This window comes from Homo sapiens, chromosome 10, assembly GCF_000001405.40.
Source record: "Homo sapiens chromosome 10, GRCh38.p14 Primary Assembly".
In the NCBI taxonomy this organism is placed as follows: domain Eukaryota; kingdom Metazoa; phylum Chordata; class Mammalia; order Primates; family Hominidae; genus Homo; species Homo sapiens.
The window spans coordinates 67,947,814-67,972,294 of NC_000010.11; the positions used below are offsets into that span (position 1 = coordinate 67,947,814).

A 24,481-nucleotide genomic window follows, 5' to 3' on the forward strand; every position below is an offset into this window, starting at 1 on the left:
ACATATGGAAATTAAACAATACACTCTTTTTTTTTTTTTTTTTTTTTTTGTATTTTTAGCAGAGACGGGGTTTCACCATGTTGGCCAGGCTGGTCTCGAATTCCTGACCTGGTGATCTGCCCACCTTGGCCTCCCAAAGTGGTGGGATTACAGGCATGAGCCACCATGCCCAGTCTAAACAATACACTCTTAAACAACCAAAAGATCAAAGAAGAAATCACAAGGGAAATTAGAAAATACTTAAGAGACTAATGAAAACACAGCATACTACAACTTATAGGATGCAAAAATAGTGTTCAGAGGGAAACTAATAGTTGTAAACACTTAAACTAAAAAAAAGGGAATGATCTCAAGTCAATAACCTAAGTTTATATCCTAAGGAACTAAGAACAAACTATACCCAAAGCTAGCAGATGGAGAAAACTAAATATTAAAGCAGTGATAAATGTATTAGAGAATAGAAAAATAATACACAATCCAGAATCTACAAGGAACTCAGATAATTATTCAGCAAGAAAAAAACAATCCCATCAAAAAGTGGGCTAAGGACATGAATAGACAATTCTCAAAAGTAGATATACAAATGGCAAAAAGAAAAAAAAAGAAAAACTGCTCAATATCACTAATGATCAGGGAAATGCAAATCAAAACCACAATGCAATACCACCTTACTCCCACAAGGATAGCCATAATAAAAAAATAAAAAAACAGTAGATGTTGGCGTGGATGTGGTGAAAAGGGAACACTCTACACTGTTGGTGGGAAGGTAAACTAGTACAACCACTATGGAAAACAGTGTGGAGATTCCCTAAAGAACTAAAAGTAGGCCAGGCATGGTGGCTCACACCTGTAATCCCAGCACTTTGGGAGGCTGAGGTAGGGGAATAACCTGAGGTCAGGAGTTCAAGACCAGCCTGGCCAACATGCCAAAACACTGTCTTTACTAAAAATACAAAAACTAGCTGGGCATGGTGAGGTGCACCTATAGTCCCAGCTACTTGGGAGGCTGAGGCACAAGAATGGCTTGAACATGGGAGGCAGAGGTTGCAGTGAGCCGAGACTGTGCCACTGCATTCCAGCCTGGGTGACAGAGCAAGACTCTATCTCACACCCTCAAAATAAATAAATAAATACAATTTTTAAAAAGAATTAAAAGTTGGCCAGGCGCGGTGGCTCACGCCTGTAATCCCAGCACTTTGGGAGGCCGAGGAGGATGGATCACAAGGTCAGGAAATCGAGATCATCCTGGCTAACACAGTGAAACCCCGTTTCTACTAAAAAATAAAATAAAATAAAATAAAAATACAAAAAATACAAAAACTAAGCCAGGCATGGTGGCATGCACCTGTAGTCCCAGCTACTTGGGAGGCTGAGGCAGGAGAATCGCTTGAACCCAGGAGGCGGAGGTTGCAGTGAGCTGAGATCGTGCCACTGCACTCCAGCTGGGGTGACAAAGTGAGACTCTGTCTCAAAAAAAATAAAAAATAAAAATAATAAAAATCTTCCAACAAAGAAAAGCCAAGGATCAGATTCTACCAAACATTTAAAGGAGAATTAACACCAATTCTCAAACTCTTCCAAAAGATCACAGCAGAGGGAATATTTCCTAAATCATTCTATGAGATCATCACTATCAAAATACCAGAAAAGGACCTTGCACACGCACCCCAAAACAAAAAAACAGTAACAAACAAAAATCCAACCCTACAAACCAATATCCCTTATGACTATAGATGTGAAAATTGTCAACAAAATAATAGCAACCTCAATCAAGTAGCCTATTAAAAGGATTATACACTATTACCAAGTGGGATTTACCCCAGGAATGCAAGGGTGATTCAACATAAGAAAATCAACCAGCATAATGTACCATATTAACAGAATGAAACAAACCACATGGTAATCTCTACTAATGTAAAAAAGCATCACATAGCTGGGCGCGGTGGCTCACGCCAGCACTTTGAGTGGCTGAGGCAGGTGGATCACTTGAGGTCAGTAGTTTGAGACCAGCCTGGCCAACATGGTGAAACCTCGTCTCTACCAACAATATAAAAAACTAGCCAGGTATGGTGGCGCACACCTGTAATCTCAGCTACTTGGGAGGCTGAGGCAAGAGAATCGCTTGAACCTGGAAGGTGGAGTTTGCAGTAAGCTGAGATTGTGCCACTGCACTCCAGCCTGGAGGATAGAGCAAGACTCCATCAATCAAAAAAACAAAAAACAAAACAAAAAACAAAAAAAAAGGAAAACCATTACACAAAAGAGTATCTCCAATATTCTTTTATGATAAAAATGCTGAACAAACTAGGGACAGAAGGGAATTTCCTTAACACCATAAAGGGAATTTGGGAAAAATCCACAGGTAACATCCTACTATTATACCTTCTCTGAGAGGGTGGTCCAGTATGTCTGAGGTTGAGCTTTTGACCAGTGCAGCCTGAAGACTCCATGGATACATACAGGGGAGATTTTTTTTTTTTTGAGACACAGTCTTGCTCTGTCCCCAGGCTGGAGTGCAGTGGCATGATCTCGGCTCACTGCAACCTCCGCCATCCAGGTTCAAGTGATTCTCCTGCCTCAGCCTCCTAAGTAGCTAGGATTACAGATGCATTCCACCATGCCCAGCTAATTTTTGTATTTTTAGTAGAGACAGGGTTTCACCATGTTGGCCAGGCTGGTTTTGAACTCCTGACCTCAGGTGATCCAACCACCTCGGCCTCCCAAAGTGCTGGGATTACAGGCATGAGCCACCACACCCAGCCCTACAGGGGAGATTTAAGTAAATATCTTAAAGATTATGGCAGTAAGGTTTCTCATTGATGATGAAAGTTATATACATAATATGGAAAGGAAGAAGGCTAGAGTAAATTCTTTGGTGTTTGGATAGAATTAGAAGTATCAGTTTGATTTCACGGTCTTCAACATATATACAGCTCTAAATATAGATAAGTCTATGGATGCATGTGTGTATACACACATACAGATCCTATTTCTATCAGCTGAAAGAACCCAGTAGAACTACTGACTCTCCGGAAGCAAGAAGTACTACACTTAGCACCCAGAGCTTGATTTCTAAATACCATTTTCCACTTAAAGAAGACACGGCTCTTAAGAAAAATGCTAATGCCATGGCTGGGGTGGAGAAAACACAAGATAAACCTGGAATGTTTACCGTACCAAATGTAAGGAAATGCTTGAAGAATAATGGGGATATGTCAGAAGTACACCAAAGAGTAGAGCCGGCTCCAAGGGGCTCTCACCAGCCAAGGTGAGATAGAACTTGAAAGGTCCCAAAGAGATTCATGATAAAGCTTATTACAACTGCCCCTCCCTTTGTCTCAAAACATTATCTCTTTAAAACTGACTAAAGGGCAGACAGAACTCTGTGTTTCTAGCAGCACAGCCCCCAACCTCATATGCCCTCTCAAATTCTACCTGCTACACCACTACAAACTTCCCTATTTATAAAGAGACCAGTGCCAGGAAGGAGGCTAGGATTTGAGCAGATTGTCCACTTACCTCAGAGGCCATTAGGACTAACTCCATCATGTCTTATATGCCTGTTTACAGAACAAATACAAAGCCTCGAAACTCATAGGTTATCCCTAAACCCACATCCATATGGCATTGTGGGATGCCCTCAAGTCTGACACAATTTTATGACTGTCCTTGCTCCACCAAACCCTTTCACTGTTTGTTCTGGAACTCACAATCTACCATTTGGAAAACTGCTTGTATCCTAAACTCCAAATTTTTTCCCCTTTTTGTCTAAGGAAACAAGACTGTCTCCTGAGGACACCATTTCCTCTGCAGCTCTCACAAATGGTGTCACTTTTCAATCCTTCATATGATTGCGTCTAGAGCTAAGGTAGGTCTCCTTGCTCTTGCTCTTCTGTGTTTCTAGACTTCTTTCCATTTGCCATCCTAAAATTTCCAACTCCTCTGAAACACGGGCCAACTGACCATATTCCCTGCAACTGTTCCTTGGGCAGTTGTATAAAAAACCTTCCACAATTCCTTCATTCACAAACTTTGGCACTATCTTATGCTTTCTTTCTCTACCACTATTTCTGCCATCGTTTTTGGCAACTTCAATATCCAGACAAAAAAAAATGCATACAACACACTAGCCTCTCAGTTTCTGGACCTGTCTGTTTCCAACAATCTTGTTCTCCACCACACCTCAATGCCCATACCCATGGTTATATCTTACATTCAACTACAACCCTCCAAATCTCAATTTCAAGCATTCCATAACTAACCATTACCTCTGACTTCTTATCTCAGCCCCTCAATACAATTCCACCGTCACAATTTATTTATTTGTCCAAACCAAGTCCACACAAAGCTGAAATTCCATAATCCCTCACTATAATAACTCCCTTGCCTTTTACTCCCTTCTGTGTTACATTCACTTGTTAAAACCAAAACGTGATTAAAATCAACTGTTGCTCTTATCCTTACCTCTATCCAAACAGCTAAACATGACTAAAGAGAGTCTCGTTTTGTCACCAGGCTGGAGTGCAGTGGCGCGACCTTGGCTCACTGCAACCTCCGTCTATTGGGTTCAAGCGATTCTCCTGCCTCAGCTTTCCGAGTAGCTGGGATTACAGGCATGTACCACCACGCCCAGCTAATTTTTGTATTTTTAGTAGAGACAGGGTTTCATCATGTTGGCTAGACTGGTCTTGGACTCCTGACCTCCACCTTGGCCTCCCAAAGAGCTGGGATTAGAGGTGTGAGCCACTGGGCCCGGCCAAAAAAATACTTATTTTAAAATATCTTAAAGACTCATAAATTGGAGGCCGGGCGCGGTGGCTCACACCTGTAATCCCAGCACTTTGGAAGGCCAAGGCAGGTGGATCACAAGGTCAGGAGATCGAGACAATCCTGGCTAACACGGTGAAACCCCGTCTCTACTAAAAATATAAAAAAAATTAGCCGGGCATGGTGGCAGGCGCCTGTAGTCCCAGCTACTCGGGAGGCTGAGGCAGGAGAATGGCATGAACCTGGGAGGCAGAGCTTGCAGTGAGCCGAGAGTGCGCCACTGTACTCCAGCCTGGGCGACAGAGGGAGACTCAGTCTCAAAAAAAAAGAAAAAAAAAAAGACACCTAAATTGCACAAATAATATAAAGAACTCCCATGTACCCTTCACTCAGTTTTCTCCAGTGGTAACAGCTTACATAGCCATGGTCAAAACCAGGAAAATTACTTTGGTATGTAATATATTGCTATCTACATATATATATATATTTAAAGGAGGATAGCCCATACATTTTCAAAAGATCACCCATAGGAAGAGGGGGAAAACAAGGTGGAGCTTGACTTCTTTTAACACATCTTATTTTGTAGATTTGACTTTGGAACTATGTAGGCATTTTATATTATTGTAAAACTAAATTGAATTTGAACAAGCAATCCCTAAAAATAAGTTAGCTTAAATGAGTATTCACTTGGTGGTATAACAATAGAGTATAACAATTTTAAATTATATCAAAACTATATTATCTGGCTGTCTATCTATATTAGGGTATACTCTTTGTACAAAAAGAACTGAAAAACAATTTAAAACATTTTAGTAATCATAATATTGGTGGTAATGTTGGTACTGTTAGGCAGTAAATGTGTAAGATAAGTCTGGAACATTCTGTCATAGTAAGTACACAAGGTAGCAAGGAAGGTACCAAAAAGTATATAGGTTGTTTCAAAAGGACTTGGGCACCAACCTTAAGAGCTCTCCTTGAACAAAGATGGGACAATATGAGCATCAATGAAGACAATAACTGCAGTGAATTGAAAAACATCAAGTATGTTTAAACCTATGAATACCTAATGATACTTGAAAGCAAAACACAAAAAATGAATTATTACCAGTGGACTATGCTAATGAACCAATTCATTCTTTTGAAAAATTGGTAACTAAATAGAATCCTTTCCTATGAATTGCACTACTAAGGAATCAGAAAACGTGAGGAAATTTCTCTATACAGAAGTATCCAAGCTAATAAATGAAAAAGAAATATTAGAGTAGCACACCATTTTGCAACCCCTGATGAATTAGAGTCTAGGCACTAAGCTGCTAACATTACACAAGACAGCCAACCTCCAGGCAGAATGATTAAATATTACATTGAGGTTTTTACAACCAATAGCTATTCTATCTAAATTTCTTTCAAGTCAGGAGTTCTACTAAACTGATCCATCCTTTTCACTTATGATCACTAAATTGGGTCAGCAAACTTTCTATAAAGAACCAGATGGCAAATATTTTGGGGTTTCCTGGACATAAGGTCACTGTTGTAATTACTTAAACTCTGCCGCTGCTATTGTAGCATGAAAGTAGCCTTGGACAATAGGTAAAAGAGTGGGTGTGACTTTTTTTTTCTTTGAGATTAATGGGCTATAGTCTGCTGACCTGCTCTAAATGACAAGGTAGATAAATCAATGATCCCTAATGATAAATTAATTTTTCCCAACAGAAAAGTTAATCTGGTGATTATTATTCAATCCTCAAATTGAAATCAGCAGAAGGAATAGTCAACATTATTTTCTGGCTAACCATCTCTTAATTTATTTTGTTAATTTAAAATGTGTGGTAAGCATCAAATGTATTTTGACAACTCCAAGTCCAAAGTTTATAATTTCTCAAATTGTAATAAAGCAGATCTTATATGTTAGGGATCCAGTAGTAATTCCTTATTTACTGAATTAACTTGATACATACAGGTATAAATACATGGGTATATACACAGAAGTAATTTAGATGGTTGGACATTTTACCTTATCAGAAAACCAAATGAGCCTGGAATCTTCATAATACCTAAACATGCCGTATTTAGGATCCAATAATTCCCTCATGATGAGCAAGAAAAATTCTTTGCGCACCCCTCCTGCATCCACAGCATCTTCTCCAACAAATATAACCTAAAATAGCACAATGCAAACACCAAATAGACTGTAAAGAAATGAAAGTACATTCTGGAGACCCTAGAACATGTTATTTATTACTAATACTCTACAATTAATAGTTTAAAATAAATATAATTTTATTTATTAAGTTTAAAAGATTCACTAAAAACAAATAGGAAAATTTTAAACATAGCTTCTGAATAAAAGTCCCAATTATACCACAGAAAATGTCAAATTACCTTGAGTGGCTTCTTGTAATCTATGTTCTTTGTTTTCCTAAGGACTTCCATTGCATCTCCTACAATATTTTCTCTACGCACCACTAGAATTAAGCAGGGATTCACAGATTCAATCACTGGGAGAAAAAGAGAGGAGACATTCTGCCTGTGGGCCTGATCAATAGCCATCTGGAAAACAAAAGATTAACATTTTAACAGCAATGCTACAATAAAGCTACTGTGACTGAAACAAGCTAACCTCTACCTATTAGTTACAGGTATTCTATAATTCCTATGCTACTGAATTAACATAGCACCTAACAGTATCCCGTACAGCATAAAACTTAATAAACTGAGCATAAAGAGTACCCTTTTGAATGTTTTTATACTAATGTATAATGTATAACTCATAACACCATTAGAGTAAGCCAGTACAGAACGGTAGTAATACTGATAAATCTGAGCATTGGTTTTTCTAAAAAACATTCACTGGAGGGGAGGGTAAAGAGGGAGGAGCAAAAACAAACCTTTAAAGAGTATAAGGAACAGGCTGGGCGCAGTGGCTCACGCCTGTAATCCCAGCACTTCGGGAGGCCAATGAGGGCAGATTACTTGAGGTCAGGAGTTCAAGACCAGCCTGGCCAACATGGTGAAATCCTGTCTCTACTAAAAATGCAAAATTAGCAGGGCGTGGTGGTGTGTGCCTGTAATCCCAGCTACTCAGGAGGCTGAGGCAGGAGAATCACTTGAACCTGGAAGGCAGAGGTTCCAGTGAGCTGAGACTGTACCACTGCACTACAGCCTGGGCGACAAGAGCGAAACTCCGTCTCAAAAATAAAAAATAAAAAACAAAGAATAAGGAATGATCTGGCTAAGGAAGCATTACACAAATTCACTTAACTAAGTGATCATGGTATGTGCTCACGAACCAAGGATTTGACTTTTACCATTTAAAACTTTTGTTCTTTTATTATGGTTCTCCCTGAGTTCTTGTTCTAAAATGGAATATCCCATGGTAAAATCACCAAGTTATTAACTTATCGTTTTAACAAAGACCTCCAAAAAATTGGCTTACTAGCTGTTAGTATAGAACACTACAAAAATATTTAGAATACCAAATGCATTTATTTGAACAGAATAAAAATGGTTACCAAGATTTGAAGGTTTTTAATTTTTTAAAATATTTTTAGACTATTAAATATTCAAGCTTTCTTTTCATCCTTTCCTTAATCCTTAGTTGGTATAGTCAGATATTCTATACCAGAGGAAGCAGCTCAAAATCTTTTTTATTTACAGGATCAAATGATAAAGCAAACTTACTGTAACCCTTTAAAGTCATAATATGAATTAGTTTAAAAAATCCTCTCTATAAATGAAAGAACTCTCAACATAAAATGGATGGGAAAGGGTGATAGGAAGGGGAAAAGAAAGAGGAATAGGAGATAATGGTGACCAACCCCAGGAACATGTTTAATACCTTATTATTGAAACTTTCTTCAAGGAAATTTCACATCTTCTTCCTAACGAGATCAAATGCTTCCTACTTTTAACATCTCTCACCTCTAGTGACTTCCATCTCTTACCAAGCATATAAAAAGGGGACATATAATGAAACAAGATTTTGAAACAAACCAACATCTTATCAAGTAAACTAGTAAAACGGTTTATAAAGATTGAATATTTCTGTAATGAAAGAGGCTTATACAATTTTTAATATATAAAATGATTATAGGTTAAGTTATTCCATTTTCACTGCAACCTTTTTTTATAAATGTTCTCATAAGAATATACATATCACATGCAGCAGTCTTCTTTATAGCTACCCAAAGTACTTTGTGTACCTTCATTACTGATCCTAGGAAAATTTCAAATATTTACTGTCCAGAAACATCAAAGAAACAATTAAAAAAAAAAACCCTCTCAAATAATATTTTACCTGCATCTGTAAGACTGCATCGGTCTGTAACAGAGTAGTTTTTGCTTGGGCATCAAATACAAATGGATATGTACAGATTGTAACAGGGATATCTGCCAACTGGAAATAAAAAATTAACTTATTAGTACAAGTTGATTTGTGATATACTTACTGTGGATGCTGACATTTCTTATAAAGTGGACTACATTCTTTGTTTATTCACTCATGTGGTTCTGGAATTACAAATAAAACATGCTGCTTACAGAATTATTAAAAATTAAATGAGGCATTGGAATGAACCCAATTCCCAATTTTAGGGGGCGACTGTATACTTGAGAGTCTATACAATCATATACTGCAAGTATCTTTTGCTTAGCATATGTTAATTGCAAATCTCAGTGAATGAGGTTGCAAATTTGTTCTAAAATTGGGGGCTCCTATGTTAAATGCGATAGCCAATTCTTACATGTTAGGGCAACTGCAGCAACTGAGGCTAATGATAAGTAATCTGTCTATTCCTTCATTTAACAGATATTGAGTATAATGTCATTAGGGTATCAAAATTATTATGAGTCCAATAATCTCTTCATTTACTTAATATACAAAAAAGTACCATTAGTATTACTATTCTGTTAGCCTTTAAAGTTACGAGAACTGATCTATTATTATCATTATTAGACATTAGACACTTTATAGACAATTACTTATCCTGGCAGGTAATATATTGATTGCTAAGTATTTTAATAGTGCAGTAAAATATAAAGAGTTATGAATTGCCAGTCACACATTCTTGTAGTTGGAGGACGACCTACTTCTACCATCTACCCAGTAAAACAATATCTTTGTGCCTGCCCTGACTCAGAGCCCCTGCTATGAGACTTCTAATGAAGAATTAATACACCCTAAAACAATCCACTTCTTAGTGATTAGACAGTTCTTTATAGTCTGAATCTGCATTTTTTTTTCCCCCATACAGAGTCTTGCACTGATGCCGGGGCTGGAGTGCAATGGTGCGATCTAGGCTCACGGCAACCTTCGCCTCTGGGGTTCAAGCGATTCTCCTGCCTCAGCCTCCCGAGTAGCTGGGATTACAGGTGCCTGTCACCACACCCGGCTAATTTTTTGTATTTTTAGTAGAGATGGGGTTTCACTAGGTTGGCCAGGCTAGTCTTGAACTCCTGACCTCATGATCCGCCCACCTCGGCCTCCCAAAGTGCTGGGATTACAGGCGTGAGCCACTGTGCCCAGCCTGAATCTGCATTTCTATATATCACTATGCATCATTTAGTCTTTGCTTTGCCCCTGCTGGGAAGTGTACGTAGTTTAAATATTTTAAGTCCTAATCATGCTCTCCCTAAATTGTATTTTATTACATTCTAAACATTCACTCTTCAGTATTTTTCATGTGACAAGGTTTACCTCCATCCTATATTTGTGGCACTGCCTAGCTAATGATCATAAAAACTAATTTTACTTCTCTGAAATTCAAAAAGATTTAGATATCTCCAAAGCACCCTTTGGCTTCAAAACTCTATGTTTTCATAATTTTATGTGCTAATTCTATTTGACAATGAGGAAGCAAACAATATTAGAGCTATAATTTAAAGCTAACTCAAAATGCTTCATTGGTTCAAGTGCTGGGAAAAACATAGCAACCAACAAAATGCAAATCAAAGCAAAACCTGACATCTATAACGGATAAAGAAAGTATTATAATGTTCCCAAGTGTTAAAAGGGTAGTCTAGGGTTGTTGATTACTTAAACCAAAGTGCTAGAACTTTATATATTAGAAGTGAGAAAGATAATCATACAAAAAGTTTAACTTTGTGACCATTCTGAGTATCAATTAATCAATTTTAAAAATGAAGTTTGTTTTACTTCTCTAATATAAAATGTTTTCAGCCACATTAGGTAGGCATTTGCTAAATTTTAAAATAAAAGTTTGCTTTTTTATATTCTGAGGACACATTACATTTTATACTGGAAGACTTGAGGAGGACAGAAACTATTCTAAAGCAAATATTGTTGAGGCATCATATAGGTGTAATGTTAACAGAATTTCATTTTCTTCAGAAAACTTCTGAAATGTTATACAAGATAATCTCTACAGACTGTATTTTAAAAAATGATACATATATATCTATTTATTTACATTTTTTAACCACACCAAAAAAACGAATCTTTGGCTCTTCTATTACTCAGGAGAAAATGGAGTATATTTTACTCTAAACATGAGCTTTATTACACCAAACTTACCTCAGTTAATCCATGGTTGACATCCTAAGACAGCAGTGCAGAATATAACAATAACGAGGAAAGAGCAATATTAGTGTCCAAATTTAACTATTTCTATTCAAGGTAGCATTTCATATATTTTGCTACAGCAGAATATTGAAGTAATGAGGTAGAAAATACATCTACAATCAAATACACCCCCTACACAAGCATCTTATATATCTACTAATGTAAGATCTTTGTTTCAGGTACCTTGTGATCATAAAATGATTGAGGCTTGAACATAATGAAATTTGTTTTCAGCAATTAAACACCCCCATTTGCAGAATTTAGGCAGAATAAGAAAACTAATCCTATGCCTGGCTTGGTCTTAAAAAAAAAAATTTATGGCTCAGTTTTTCTACTTAAAAAAAATGGAAAAAACATTCCTCAGACTTTAAGACTTTAAAATCTCAGCAAAATGTCTGACAGTGTTTAGTAGATTAAAATGCCATATGGACACAAAGTAAGAAAAAATAAGCCATAAATTGTTTTTATTTGACAGAAAAAAAAACAGTAAAACATAAGGTATCTTACATTAAGCATTCTTTAAAACTGAATTAATTTAAAATAGAAAGTACAGGACAGGGAAAAAGGGTTGGTAAGCAAAAAGAAATGAAGAGAGAAAGATATATTTATTAAGGCAGTAATAGTGGAAATTATAATGAAAGCTTACCACTTTATTGAACAGAAATGTACATTTTCTTGTAGAAAGTTTCCACATATGCTCAGAGCACAGACTCGTGTAAAGCACCAGAATCTTCAGAAATATGTTACTAAATTTGTGGACGGTGCCTTGTGTTGTGAGGAATTAATTTTACCCCAGAAGAGAGGGCATTGCCCTGGGTTACTAGGAGGTGACCTATAGACCTGTGCAATATCATGCCTGATAGGAGTGTCTTTGTTTGCCTGGCGCTTTAGCCACTGGACAATGTGACTTATGATAGGGGCTTGGGCCATGTGCTGTCAGTTCTGCTTCCAGAAGAGCTGGGAACTAGAGGTCACTACGGGAGCAGGATGTGATTGAACCCCAGTAAAAACTCTGGGCACCAGGGTTCTGGTGAGCTTCTTTGGCTAGAAATACTCTGTATTGTTACACATCTATGCCAGGAAAGTAATTCATCCATGACTCTACATGGAAAGGACAACAGAAGCTCTGCCTCTGGTTATCTTTCCCAGACTCTGCCCTGTGTGTTTCTTCCCTTGGCTGATTTTTGTTCTCAGATGGAACTTTCTATTTGTCACTATTAAAAGCCTAAAATTTTTTTTTTTGAGACGGAGCTTCGATCTTGTTGCCCAGGCTGGAGTGCAATGGTGCAATCTCGTCTCACCGCAACCTCTGCCTCCTGGGTTCAAGCGATTCTCCTGCCTCAGCCTCCCGAGTAGCTGGGATTATAGGCATGTGCCACCACGCCTAGCTAATTTTGTATTTTTAGTAGAGATGGGGTTTCTCCATGTTGGTTAGGCTGGTTTCGAACTCCTGACCTCGTGATCTGCCCACCTCAGCCTCCCAAAGTGCTGGGATTACAGGCGTCAGCCACCGCACCCAGCCAAAAGCGTAAATTTTAAACACATTCTTGGATTTGTGGTCCACATCCATCAGCTCATATAACCTTAGCACCTGTCACATCCCCAGTAGCCTTTCTAGAACTACTACCTTCACCATGAAGCTCCCTGGTTTTCCCAGTTCAAACTTGGGCATCTTCAGCATTTTTACTTTTCTAACAAGGACAAGCATGGAGAGGATAAATAGACTGGCAAGCCTTTTCTTTATCTTTTCCAATGTTTATTGACCACTTCTTTCAAGTCACTTGTCTGAACCTCTTGGATCATGATTTTCATCACTTTCTTGCGGATTTGGCGGACCTGTTGGTGCTGAGAGTAAGAGGTCTTCTGTACCTGACCATTGCGTTTCTTAGTAAAACCAACACAGAACAGATGAAGCAAATAACCATTAGTGGTCTTGACATTAACATGAGCTTCTTTCATGATCTACCAGTTTTTGGCCATGGAACTCATTTTGTCACAGGTAAGATCCATGCAATGGAAGTTAGGTCGTTTAGCGCCTCAACATCCTCAGTAGTCAGCTTGAATTTTTAAAATGCAATTTCATCATTCTGCAGATCAGAAAGGTTCACTTCAAATATACACAACACTTGAGGCCATCAGATATAATTTTGGTTCCTTGAGTCCTGGTGACTAGTGTTTCTCTCCAATATTTCTTATACTGAACACAGCACGTGCTTTCATATCATATCTATCTTTTTTAGAAAGTAGATTAACCACTTCTTTGCTCCCTATTTGTCACCTTTCATAAGGTGCTTGTTCTTGCCAAATGTCATGGTGCTGCTCAGAGAGTCAAAAAGACCCTTGGCTGATTTTAACCTATTATCCTTTCCCTGTAATAAACCCTAATCATCAGTGTAACAATTTTCAGTGAGTTCTGGGAGGCCTCGTAGCAAATTATCAAACCTAAGGGTAGTTTGGGGGACCCTCCCCAAACTCACAATTGGTATCAGAAGTGAGGGCAGTCTTGTGTAAACTGTTCTCTTTAACTTTGTAGTTGACTGAGTTCCCACGTGTCACCAGCGATATTATTGGAGGATTTAAGATATTAGCAAAGACTTTGGGTTCTCTCACTATATTAAGTAAAGCCAAAGCAGTGTAAGCATAAGCAAAACATCACTCTATGCAAACCCTATTCAGAGGAAGAATATTATTGACAAGAATTTCTTTAAAAAAATTCACAGTACCAAGTTATTACCACATAAATGCTCCAACTGGCAGTGTAAACAAGATGAAAGTCTTTAGAGACTGTTCTGCAAAAAAACCTTTCAGATTACACTCTGTTTAGCTAGAAGGCAATATAAAAGGAACATCTGAAATCCTTTTATAGTATACCTTGTGGGACTTTTTTTGAAAAAAGAACTTTATTATTTTAAAGCAGCTTTAGATTCACAGCAAAATTGAAAGTAAGGTGCAGAGACTTCCAATATACCCTTATCCTCACATATGCACAGCCTTCATATCACCAATATTCCTCTTGTAGGACATTTAAAAAGTGTTATTACTACTAAGAAAGTTTAAATAAGCAAAAAAAAAAAAGCCTATAAAAATTTATCTATGGCCTGCTTGATAACTATACTATATACCAAGGGAGTTTATAGTATGGGAGATCGATTTTCTCCTTAGCTAAACAATGAAATATTAGTATGTATGCATTATCTTTTTTACTACTACATGTAAGTAGATATAGATGTTATACATATCATTATACACTGGGGAAGTCAGTAAGATAATGTTAGAATTTATAGTGCGACTAACCCATACTAAGCAGAATATAATTTGGTTACACTAAAAATTGGGACAGAAAGATGTGAACTGGCAAGAATATGAAAAATAATAGGACGTGAAAAACTTCAGAAAAAGAGAGATGATTAGACATTAGGTATAATCATTTTTCTAAGAGAGAGAGGCACCAAAGGGAAAACCAGATAAAGATAATTAACTAAAAGTATCAGAAAGGGAAGAAAAAATAGCAAAGAGTTTGGTAGTAACCAATAAGGTATTTTTACAAACAATTTAAAAGCAAAGTTAAAGGAGGATAAGGAAACTGAGAATAGTACCTAGAAAATGCTCTTAGAAAATGTTTCATTATAGTGCACATAGAGAAAGGCAGCAAGAGAACAGAGTTATTAGACACGTCAGAATAAAAGCTACTGCCAAATTTGTAGCCTGTGTCAAGGTAGCCAGCAACAATAATCACCATTTTATAAAGACTTAACTGTGTGCCAGAAATTACTCTAAGTCCTTCACAGGGATCATATAAATTAATCTTCTCAAAACTTTTTAAGGTAGGTACTAATATCCTAATTTACAGAAAACAAAATGAAATCTCAGAGAAATTAAGTAATTTTCCCAAGGACAGAACTGAATATATGCTGAGGTGGGATTTGAATCCAGGCACTCTCATAAAAGTTACTCTGCTTTCTCATCATACATATTTATGTTGTGAGTTAGAATTCTTCATCATTACAACATTCTCCATAATAAATTAACTTAATTTGCCAATTTGTAATGTTATTTACTATTTATTTATTTTTTGAGATGGAGTCTCACTCTGTTGCCCAGGCTGGAGTGCAGTGGCGTGATCTCAACTCATTGCAACCTCCACCTCCCGGGTTCAAGCCATTCTCCTGCCTCAGCCTCCTAAGTAGCTGGGATTACAGGTGCCCGCCACGATGCTTGGCTAATTTTTGTATTTTTAGTAGAGACGGGGTTTCGCCATATTGGCCAGACTGGTCTAGAACTTCTGACCTCAGGTGATCTGCCCACCTCGGCCTCCCAAAGTGCTGGGACGTGAGCCTCCGCACCTGGACTGTAATGTTATTTATAATTATAAATTTGCTGTGGTCTTAGAGTTCTTTTAAGAGCTAAACACCAAGAGTTTAGAACTAGTTTAATGTGTGTATATATTTATATAATATGTAAGTGAACACTGGGCTTCTTAAGAAATTGTTCTTCTTTAAAAGGGTCCACATATCCCTCCAAATGTTCTGAATCCTTTCAAAAACACTGCTAAAAGACCTAGGGTACCCTGGTTGGTGTGTGAGGGTTTATATGCAAAGTCTTGGTATGAACAAGGTTCATTTCCTGAAGAATCAATTTTCCTCAATGACAAATAAATTAAATCTCTTTTATACTGCAATATCTATTATGCCCATAATGCAAAATTTGCATTTAAAGATAGAAAATTAGCCTCAGTTCAAGTCTTGCTGAGGGAAGGTTAAATCCTTAAGAAATATGTTATTTCTCCTGCCATCACAGGTTCTCTAAAGGAAGAGTTTGAGAAGCTTTACCTAGGTCAGAGATGAAGAAAAAAGGAAATATTTATTCAAAACTGCTGAGGTCAATTATTTTCTTTCTTAAAAAATTATCCCTTGATTCCAGCTACCACTCCATTTTTTTTTTTTTTTTTTGCTCCTCTTCAATGCAGAACTTCGTCAAAGTATTGCCAATGGTTGTTACTGCTTCCTTACCTCTAAATTTCTCTTTACAACATCCCAACCCAAGAATGGTATTATCAAGGTTACCAATTACCTTCATGTAACCAAATTCACTGTCAATTCTAAGGTTTCATCCTCCTCCTCTGCAGCATTCAACAGTCTCTCTTTCACTTTTAAATTTTGGTTTCCAAGACTCTCCTAGTTTTCCCTCTACCACACCTGCTTTTTAATCTTTGTGGATTTCTCTCCTTTCCTCACTTCATATCCAATCCATCAGTGATTTTTATTTTCCTTTTGTCTCCAAGATTCCCTTTTATCTCCAAGACATATTCCATTTCCTTCTTCCATCTAAATAACCATCATCCTAGTCAAACCCATCATTTCCTCTCCCCTAATCTACTAAAATATAGCTTTCTCATGGATTTCCGTCTTTCATTTCTGTCCCGTTCCCTACACAGCCAACAAAGTGATCATTCAAAAAGATCAGATTAAGTTTCCCCTGTTTATCATTAACACTTTAGATAAAATCCAAATTCCTAATCCTAGTTTACTAAACTCTCTATGATCTGGCCCCTGCCCATTTCTCTGTTCCCTCCTCACTCCCATAAGCCATGCTGGCTGTTTTCCTTTCTTTCTTTCTTTCTTTTTTTTTTTTGAAAGGAGTCTCACACTGTCGCCCATGCTGGAGTGCAATGGTGCAATCTAAGCTCACTGCAACCTCCACCTCCTGGGTTCAAGCAATTCTCCTGCCTCAGCCTTCCAAGTAGCTGGGATTACAGGCGCCCACCACCATGCCTGGCTAAGTTTTTGTATTTTTAGTAGAGACGGGGTTTCACTATGTTGGTCAGGCTGGTCTTGAACTCCTGACCTCGTGATCTGCCCACCTCGGCCTCCCAAAATGCAGGGATTCCAGGCGTGAGCCACCACACCTGGCCTAATGCTGGCTTTTTTCTGTCCTTCAATCATGTCAAGCTTGTTTTCACCTCAGGTATTTTACCAAATGTTCGTTGTTCTTGAAATTCTCTCTGCCCTGATCTTAAAGGGCTGCTCCTTGTCATTCAGATTAGTACTCATACTTCATTAGATAAGTCTTTTCTGAAACCTATCTTTACTAAGTCCCCTCATTTTAATAATACATATTATTAGCTGGTATTTTTTGCTTTGTTTGACTATTGCCAATCTTGCCCAGTAGATTACGAATTCCATGAGAAACAAGGCTCTGTCTGGTTCACCACTGTATTTCCAATACCTAAATCAGTGCCTGTTATATAACAGATTCTCATTGTTTGTTGAATAAGCAAATGAATAGACCTAAATCTATAGAATGGCTATAAACCTGACCCAGCCTCAAAGTGACTCAGGAGAAAAGTCAATGAGTCTCTCCCAGTCCAGACCCAAGTACACTAGGGAAGGAAAAGATGTCTAGAAGCAACCTGATTCCGGAAGGTGGGAGTATCCTAAAAACAGCGTGCACTAACCAGATTGCCATTCAAAAACTACTGTACTTTTTTAGTGCTTACTAGACATATTCTAGACACTGTCAGAGGTGCTGGTTGACTGACAAGAGCACCCATCCACAAGGAGCTTACAGCTGGTGCCTAGCAAGCAATGAAAAGTTACTCACCCTTCTATTATATAACTGCTGCACACATATTAAATTACCTGGGTACAGAAAAGTGGGCCTCAAGTATACACAAATGGCTAGCAAATAAGAGTAGTAAACCTAAATATTTTGTATCTAACTGCTTACCCATTTCTGCATTAAAATTTTATGTGCCTAATTCAAGTTTTATAAGACCATGGTACTATTTTAATGGGATAGTGTCTAGTTATTAAAGACTTAGCTGCATAAAAAGATGTACGCACCCACATTTATATTAAAAATCTGAAATAAAAGTAAACACATAATCGGCTCACTGCAACCTCCATCTCCCAGGTTCAAGTGATTCTCATGCCTCAGCCTTCTGAGTAGCTGGGATTACAGGCATGTGCCACCACACTTGGCTAATTTTTTGTATTTTTAGTAGAGATGGGATTTCGTCATGTTGCCGAGGCTGGTCTTGAAATCCCGAGCTCAGGGAATCCACCTGCCTCAGGCTCCAAAGTGCTAAGATTACAGGCATGAGCCACCACACCCAGTCCTCTTTTGGTAGTCTTGAAGCACCAATTTCACAACAATAATGCATTCTTAGGAGTTCCAGTATGAAGAATGCCAGTATTTTCAACACTGGAGAAATAAGAGGCAACCTCATGGAAAATAAAAGAGTTAAAAATCCATTTCACACTTGTAGGTTTTTTTTGTCTTGTTTTGTTTTGTTTTACAGTGTAATCCATTTCTTTGGTTTGGCTTTGGTAAAAGAGTAGAATGTTTGCATATAAATATTGTAAAATATATAGCACTCCTTTGCAATGTGTTATTATTTAAAAAGTAAGTTCTGGATAAAAGTTCTGAAAAAACTTTCTCATTTCAAAACCAAGCAATTGTTTCTTTTTTTATTAGATACATATACATAAAAATGAAATCACAAATTGCACAGAAAACCTACCATTCCATAGGCCTGCTGTTGGACCCAGTTGATATAATCATTTCTTATGTCTATCAATTCTTGTACTTCATGTATATAAAATTTATCATACTGTATAATCTGTCCCATTTTCTCATTTACCTACAAAAGAAAATGTAATTGACATTAAATTTAACCAGTACTCAAGACAGACAAATTTTTTTTATTTTTTGAGACGGAGTCTCACTCTGTCAACCAGGCTGGAGTGCAGTGGCACAATCTCAGCTCACTGCAAGCTCTGCCTCCCGGGTTCACGCCATTCTCCTGCCTCAGCCTCCTGAGTAGCTGGGACTACAAGCACCCGCCATCATGACCGGCTAATTTTTTGTATTTTTAGTAGAGACGGAGTTTCATCGTGTTAGCCAGGATGGTCTCGATCTCCTGACCTTGTGATCTGTCCACCTTGGCCTCCCAAAGTGTTGGGATTACAGGCGTGAGCCACCACGCCTGGCCAAGACAGAGAAATTTAAAATATCTAAAGAAAAAAATGCTTTGGGGATTTTCTTAGCTATTTTTTTCTTCCTACAAAAAATAATTACTGAGTGCCTACTATATGCAAAATGCTAGTTAAGTGCTATGGGAGACACAAAGATTTGTAAGATGTGATATCTGCATTCAGTACCCCAAAATCTAGAAAAGACATGTCTTTATAACTACAACACAGTATGAGATATGTAATGATTAAACTGTATACGGTATATATAAACTAGATACTATAAAGACTTATGGTTGGGAAATGGGACCTTAATAATAATAGCAGCTAATGCTTGTTAAGTGTTGCTCTGTGCTGGCATCTGATTAGAATAAACTTTAGAAGGTGATATCTGGACACGATGTGAAAAATGAAGAGGATGCAAATTACCACCCTAGAGATTACCTATTAATTACAAAGATAAAAACAAATCTTTACAGTGGAGAGCACCATCTTCATCAAGTGATCTAACTAATCATCACCAATACTGGAACAATGAAATATTATGTTCTTGGTGATATAGCTCAACAAGAAGCATACAAATGATCTATGAAGTAAAAATAGTTTAACCCAAATCCAATCAAGTCTCCTAATCTAAATTTTAGTTTATAGGAAATACAAGGGATAGAGGAACAAGTTAAATAAACATCACAATGAGGAAACAATCAGACAAATCCTGATTATGAAACTTTTATAAGAAAACTGGCCAAGAATCTTCAAAAAGTCAAGGTAGCAGGGATTGAAAAAAAAAGGAGCTATTCTAAATTAAAAGAGACTAGAGGAATTCTGGTACTAAATATGGCAGAATACTTTGTATCAGACTACTCTTCCTGGCACTAACAATTATAAACTCTAGACAATACATTAAAGAACAACTACTGTACTTAAAAACACTGGAGATCCACCAAAAGTAGGCAGAAACAGGAATGGACACAAGTAGAGGATAGAGCTCAAGCAGAAAGCAGCAGTCTTAATAGACAGACTGAAGCTGCCAGCACAGCCAGACAGTGAGGAATAAAAAAATCAAAGAAAGGAATCCAGAGGACGAAGCCCCAAAATCTATGTGCAAATTCCCCCCACATCCTTGGCTAACTCTAAACCATGAATGCACAAGGCACAAAGTAAGACCTGCTAAAAATAAATAAATAAATAAATAAAACTCAAACCCAATAAACCAACAGAAAGCACAGCTGAGAGGCTACTCCTTTTTTTTTTTTTGAGACAAAGTCTCGCTCTCTTGCCCAGGCTGGAATACAGTGGTGTGATCTCGGCTCACTGCAAGCTCCGCCTCTCAGGTTCATGCCATTCTCCTGCCACAGCCTCCTGAGTAGCTGGGACTACAGGCGCCCACCACCACCTCTGGCTAATTTTTTTTTGTATTTTTAGTAGAGATGGGGTTTCACCATGTTAGCCAGGATGGTCTCAATCTCCTGACCTCGTGATCTGCCCACCTTGGCCTCCCAAAGTGCTGGGATTACAGGTGTGAGCCACCGCGCCTGGCCAGAGAGGCTACTCTTACAGTAAGAGTTCAAAACAAGCATTTCCAGAGGAAAAGGGGCATATTTCATAATAATAAAAGGATTAATTCACCAAGAAGTCACAACAATCCAAAAACAGCAGAGCTTGAAAATATATGAAAGAGAAATCAACAGAACCATGATTATATTTGGAGATTTTTAACACTGCTCTCATTAACTGATAGAAAAAAATAGACAAAACCAGCAAGTATAGATGATCTGAATAACAATTTAAACCAACTTGCACTCACTGTCATAACACTTCACCTAATAATTGTACATGAAATGTTCACTAAGATAGACCAAATCCTGGACCATACAATAAGTCTTCATACATTTAAAAGAATCCAAAGTATACAACATATGTTCTCTGTCCACAATGGAATTAAACTAAAATCAGTAACAGAAAGAGATTTGGAAAATCCTAGAATACTGGCAATTAAACAAAACACTTCTAATTACTGAAAACTTTTCTTGAACCTGTGAGAGAGCTAAAGTTACAAGACAACCAAGTAGCCTGAATCCAAGGATCAACAAATCCTTACAAAAGGTAACAGGGTACCAGAATTGGCTCATTTGTGGCAGAGAGAAAGAGGAAACTACTACTGTCATATAAGCAGAAGTAATACACTAAAATTTTAAGGATCACTTAAAGCTGAGTGTGGGGTAGCTTGATAGTATGAAACCCCGCAGAGTCCCAGGCAGTTGGCACTCACTCACAGCCTCTTGTCCATAGATGCCACTGGGTGCCCATGAAACAACTGGAAACAAGGCAGAGGGGGGGAAAAAAGGAAACAAGGCAGAATATCAAGAGCCTCTCTCAATGGTACAAGGAATTAGCTGCCACATGAGAAAGGAACAAAGGCCCGTCACCCTGCCCAGATCCTTCTTTCACACAGAGCAAAAGCCTTCAGCCACTGAGGAAGGGGACGCAAACCCATGTCTTGTTGCTGAGGGAGGGAAAAACCTTCAATTCCTGGGAGGAAAGGTGACAAGAACAGTCCTAGGCTCAGAATCTTATATCAGTAGGACTAGAGGTCTGCAATTGCTGGGGGAGGGAGCAGAAACTGCCACACAAAAAAATCGGAAGCAGAGTTTGGTTGCCACAGGAAGAGGGGAGGGAACTCTGACAAAGGTCCAGGCACACATAATCTACCTAAAACCAAGGCTATACCACAACAACCAAGAACCATTTCTGTTCCCTCTCCTCTACCAATCTTGAAAGCACTGAGTAACAAGCAATACCAGTTTACAACTGACAAGAGGAAAGAATGAGAACAAAATCCCTCTAAGGAGTAGGCATGCAAAGTGGGGCACAAACATTCACAAAAACCATTTGACACCCCACTTCCACCCTAAACATTGTACTACAGGCCTCAAATTCCTCCAATGTTAGAGGCCTCAAATTCCTCTAGCATTACAGGCCTGTAGTGTAATGAAGGTATTTATAGCAAATTAAAAATTCAATTCCAGCTTAACTCCTGACTAAACTCAAATCCTTACACTAATACCAGATAGTAGAGGTGTACCAATTTATAAGCTTTAAACCTATTGATTTCAGTTTCTTACTATTTTATAGATAACCCAAAATTATGAGACATATCAAAAATCAACTGAACAGGCTGGGCATGGTGGCTCATGCCTGTAATCCCAGCACTCGGGGAGGAGAAGGCAGGTGGATCACCTGAAGTCAGGAGTTCAAGACCACCCTGGCCAATGTGGTGAAACCCTGTCCCTACTGAAAATACAAAAACTAGCTGGCCGTGGTGGCACATGCCTGTAATCCCAGCAACTTGGGAGGCTAAAGCACGAGAATTGCTTGAACCTAGGTGGTGGAGGTTGCAGTGAGCTGAGATTGCACCACTGCACTCCACCCTGGGTGACAGAGCGAGACTCTGTCTCAAAAAAAAAAAAAAATCAACAAACAAAACAAAACAAAAAAGTGTCTAGAGACAAAGCAATCAACAGAGTCAGATTCAGAGAAGACCCAAATGTTGGAGCTAGGAAACAGGGGCTTTAGGAAAATATTTTGAACTTAAAAGTAAAAACACATAAAAATTTGTGGGATGCTAATAAATCCAGGCATAAAAGAAAATCTATAGCATTAAATGATCATATTAGAAATAAAGGGTCTAAAATCAATGATCAATGTTTCTGCTTTAAGAATCTAGAAAAAAAAAGATCATATTAAGCACAAATCAAGCAGAAGGAAACAAAGAAATCAATGAAAGAGAAAACAGAAAAACACTAGAGAAGAAATTAAAAGCAAATGAGTTTTCTGAAAAGATAATAATGAATAAACCTACAGTCAGACTGACCAAGAAAAAGAGATGACACAATTTACCACTATCAGGAATTAAAGAAGAAACATGATTACATAGATATCTTGGTAAAACTGACTCAGGAAGAAACAGAAAACCTGAAATGTCTATATTTATTTTTTAAATTTAATAGGAAATTTAAAATTTTCCCAAAAGAAAACTCCAGGGCCAAAATGGTTTCACTGATGAATTATATCAAACATTTAATAAAGAAATAATACCAATCTTAATCAAACTTTTTCAGAAAATAAAGAAGGATCATTTCTTAATTCATTTTATGAAGCCAGAATAAACTTGATACCAAAAGCTAACAGCAATATGAGAAATAAAAATTACAGATCAATATCCCTCATGAACACAGATATAAACCATCAATAAAATATTAGCAAATTAAATCCAATAATATATATAAAGTATAATACAAATATAATGCCAAGTAAAGTTCATCTCAAGAATGCAAGGTTGGTTTAACATCCAACTATCAATGAATTTCACAATATTTCTAAAAAAAGGAGAAAAAAATCATCTGTTCATCTCAACAGATGGAAACAATATCTGATAAAATTCAAATCCATTTATAATAAACACTCTCAGCAAATGAGAAATGGAAGAAAATTTCTTCAAACAGATAAAACCCATCTAACCACCCCCACCCCCCACCGACATTTAACATTATACTTACTATTAAGATATTGAATGCTTTCTTTCTAAGATTAGGAACTAGGCAAGAATGACCACCATAACCACTTATATTCAACATTGTACTGAAATTCTTAGTTAATAAAATATGCCAAGAAAATAACATGATTGTGTATATAAAAAAGCCAAATGAATCAATCTATAAGAGAATTACCAGAACTAAGAATTTATCAAGATCATAGGGTAAAAGGCCAACACTCAAAACTCAATTGATTTTCTCTAGGCCAGGTACAGTGGCTCATGCCTGTAATCTCAGCACTTTGGGAGGCTGAGGCAGGCAGATCACTACAGTTCAGGAGTTTGAGACCAGCCTGGCCAATATGGTGAAACCCCATCTTTACTACAAATGTAAGAATTAGCTGAGTGTGGTGGTGGACACCTGTAATCCCAGCTACTTGGGAGGCTGAGGCAGGAGAATCATTTGAACCTGGGAGGCAGAGGTTGCAGTGGGCCAAGGTCTCACCATTGCACTCCAGTCTGGGTGACAGGAGTGAAGCTCTGTCTCAAAGGAAAAAAAAAAAAAAAAAAAAGGCCAGGCACGGTGGCTCACACCGGTAATCCCAGCACTTTGGGAGGCCGAGGTGG

At 37.8% G+C, this 24,481-nt stretch overlaps 1 protein-coding gene and 1 pseudogene across 22 annotated transcripts in view; both read right to left on the reverse strand.

Annotated features, from left to right (window-relative positions):
* Nucleotides 1-24,481, reverse strand: part of HERC4 (HECT and RLD domain containing E3 ubiquitin protein ligase 4) — a 153,379-nt gene that overhangs the window by 25,909 nt on the left and 102,989 nt on the right. For 13 of the 22 annotated variants that reach the window (XM_017016041.3, NM_001278185.2, NM_022079.3 and 10 more), the window contains 5 exons: nucleotides 18,870-18,989; nucleotides 11,300-11,323; nucleotides 9,065-9,163; nucleotides 7,150-7,317; nucleotides 6,782-6,925 (listed from right to left, as the gene is read on the reverse strand). In XM_017016041.3, coding sequence (XP_016871530.1) covers nucleotides 6,782-6,925; nucleotides 7,150-7,317; nucleotides 9,065-9,163; nucleotides 11,300-11,323; nucleotides 18,870-18,989 — 555 coding nt within the window. The remainder of the gene's footprint in view (nucleotides 1-6,781; nucleotides 6,926-7,149; nucleotides 7,318-9,064; nucleotides 9,164-11,299; nucleotides 11,324-18,869; nucleotides 18,990-24,481) is intronic. The other 9 variants (NM_001278186.2, XM_047424999.1, NM_015601.4 and 6 more) reach the window with 1 other exon arrangement.
* Nucleotides 12,872-13,681, reverse strand: RPS3AP38 (RPS3A pseudogene 38; annotated as a pseudogene).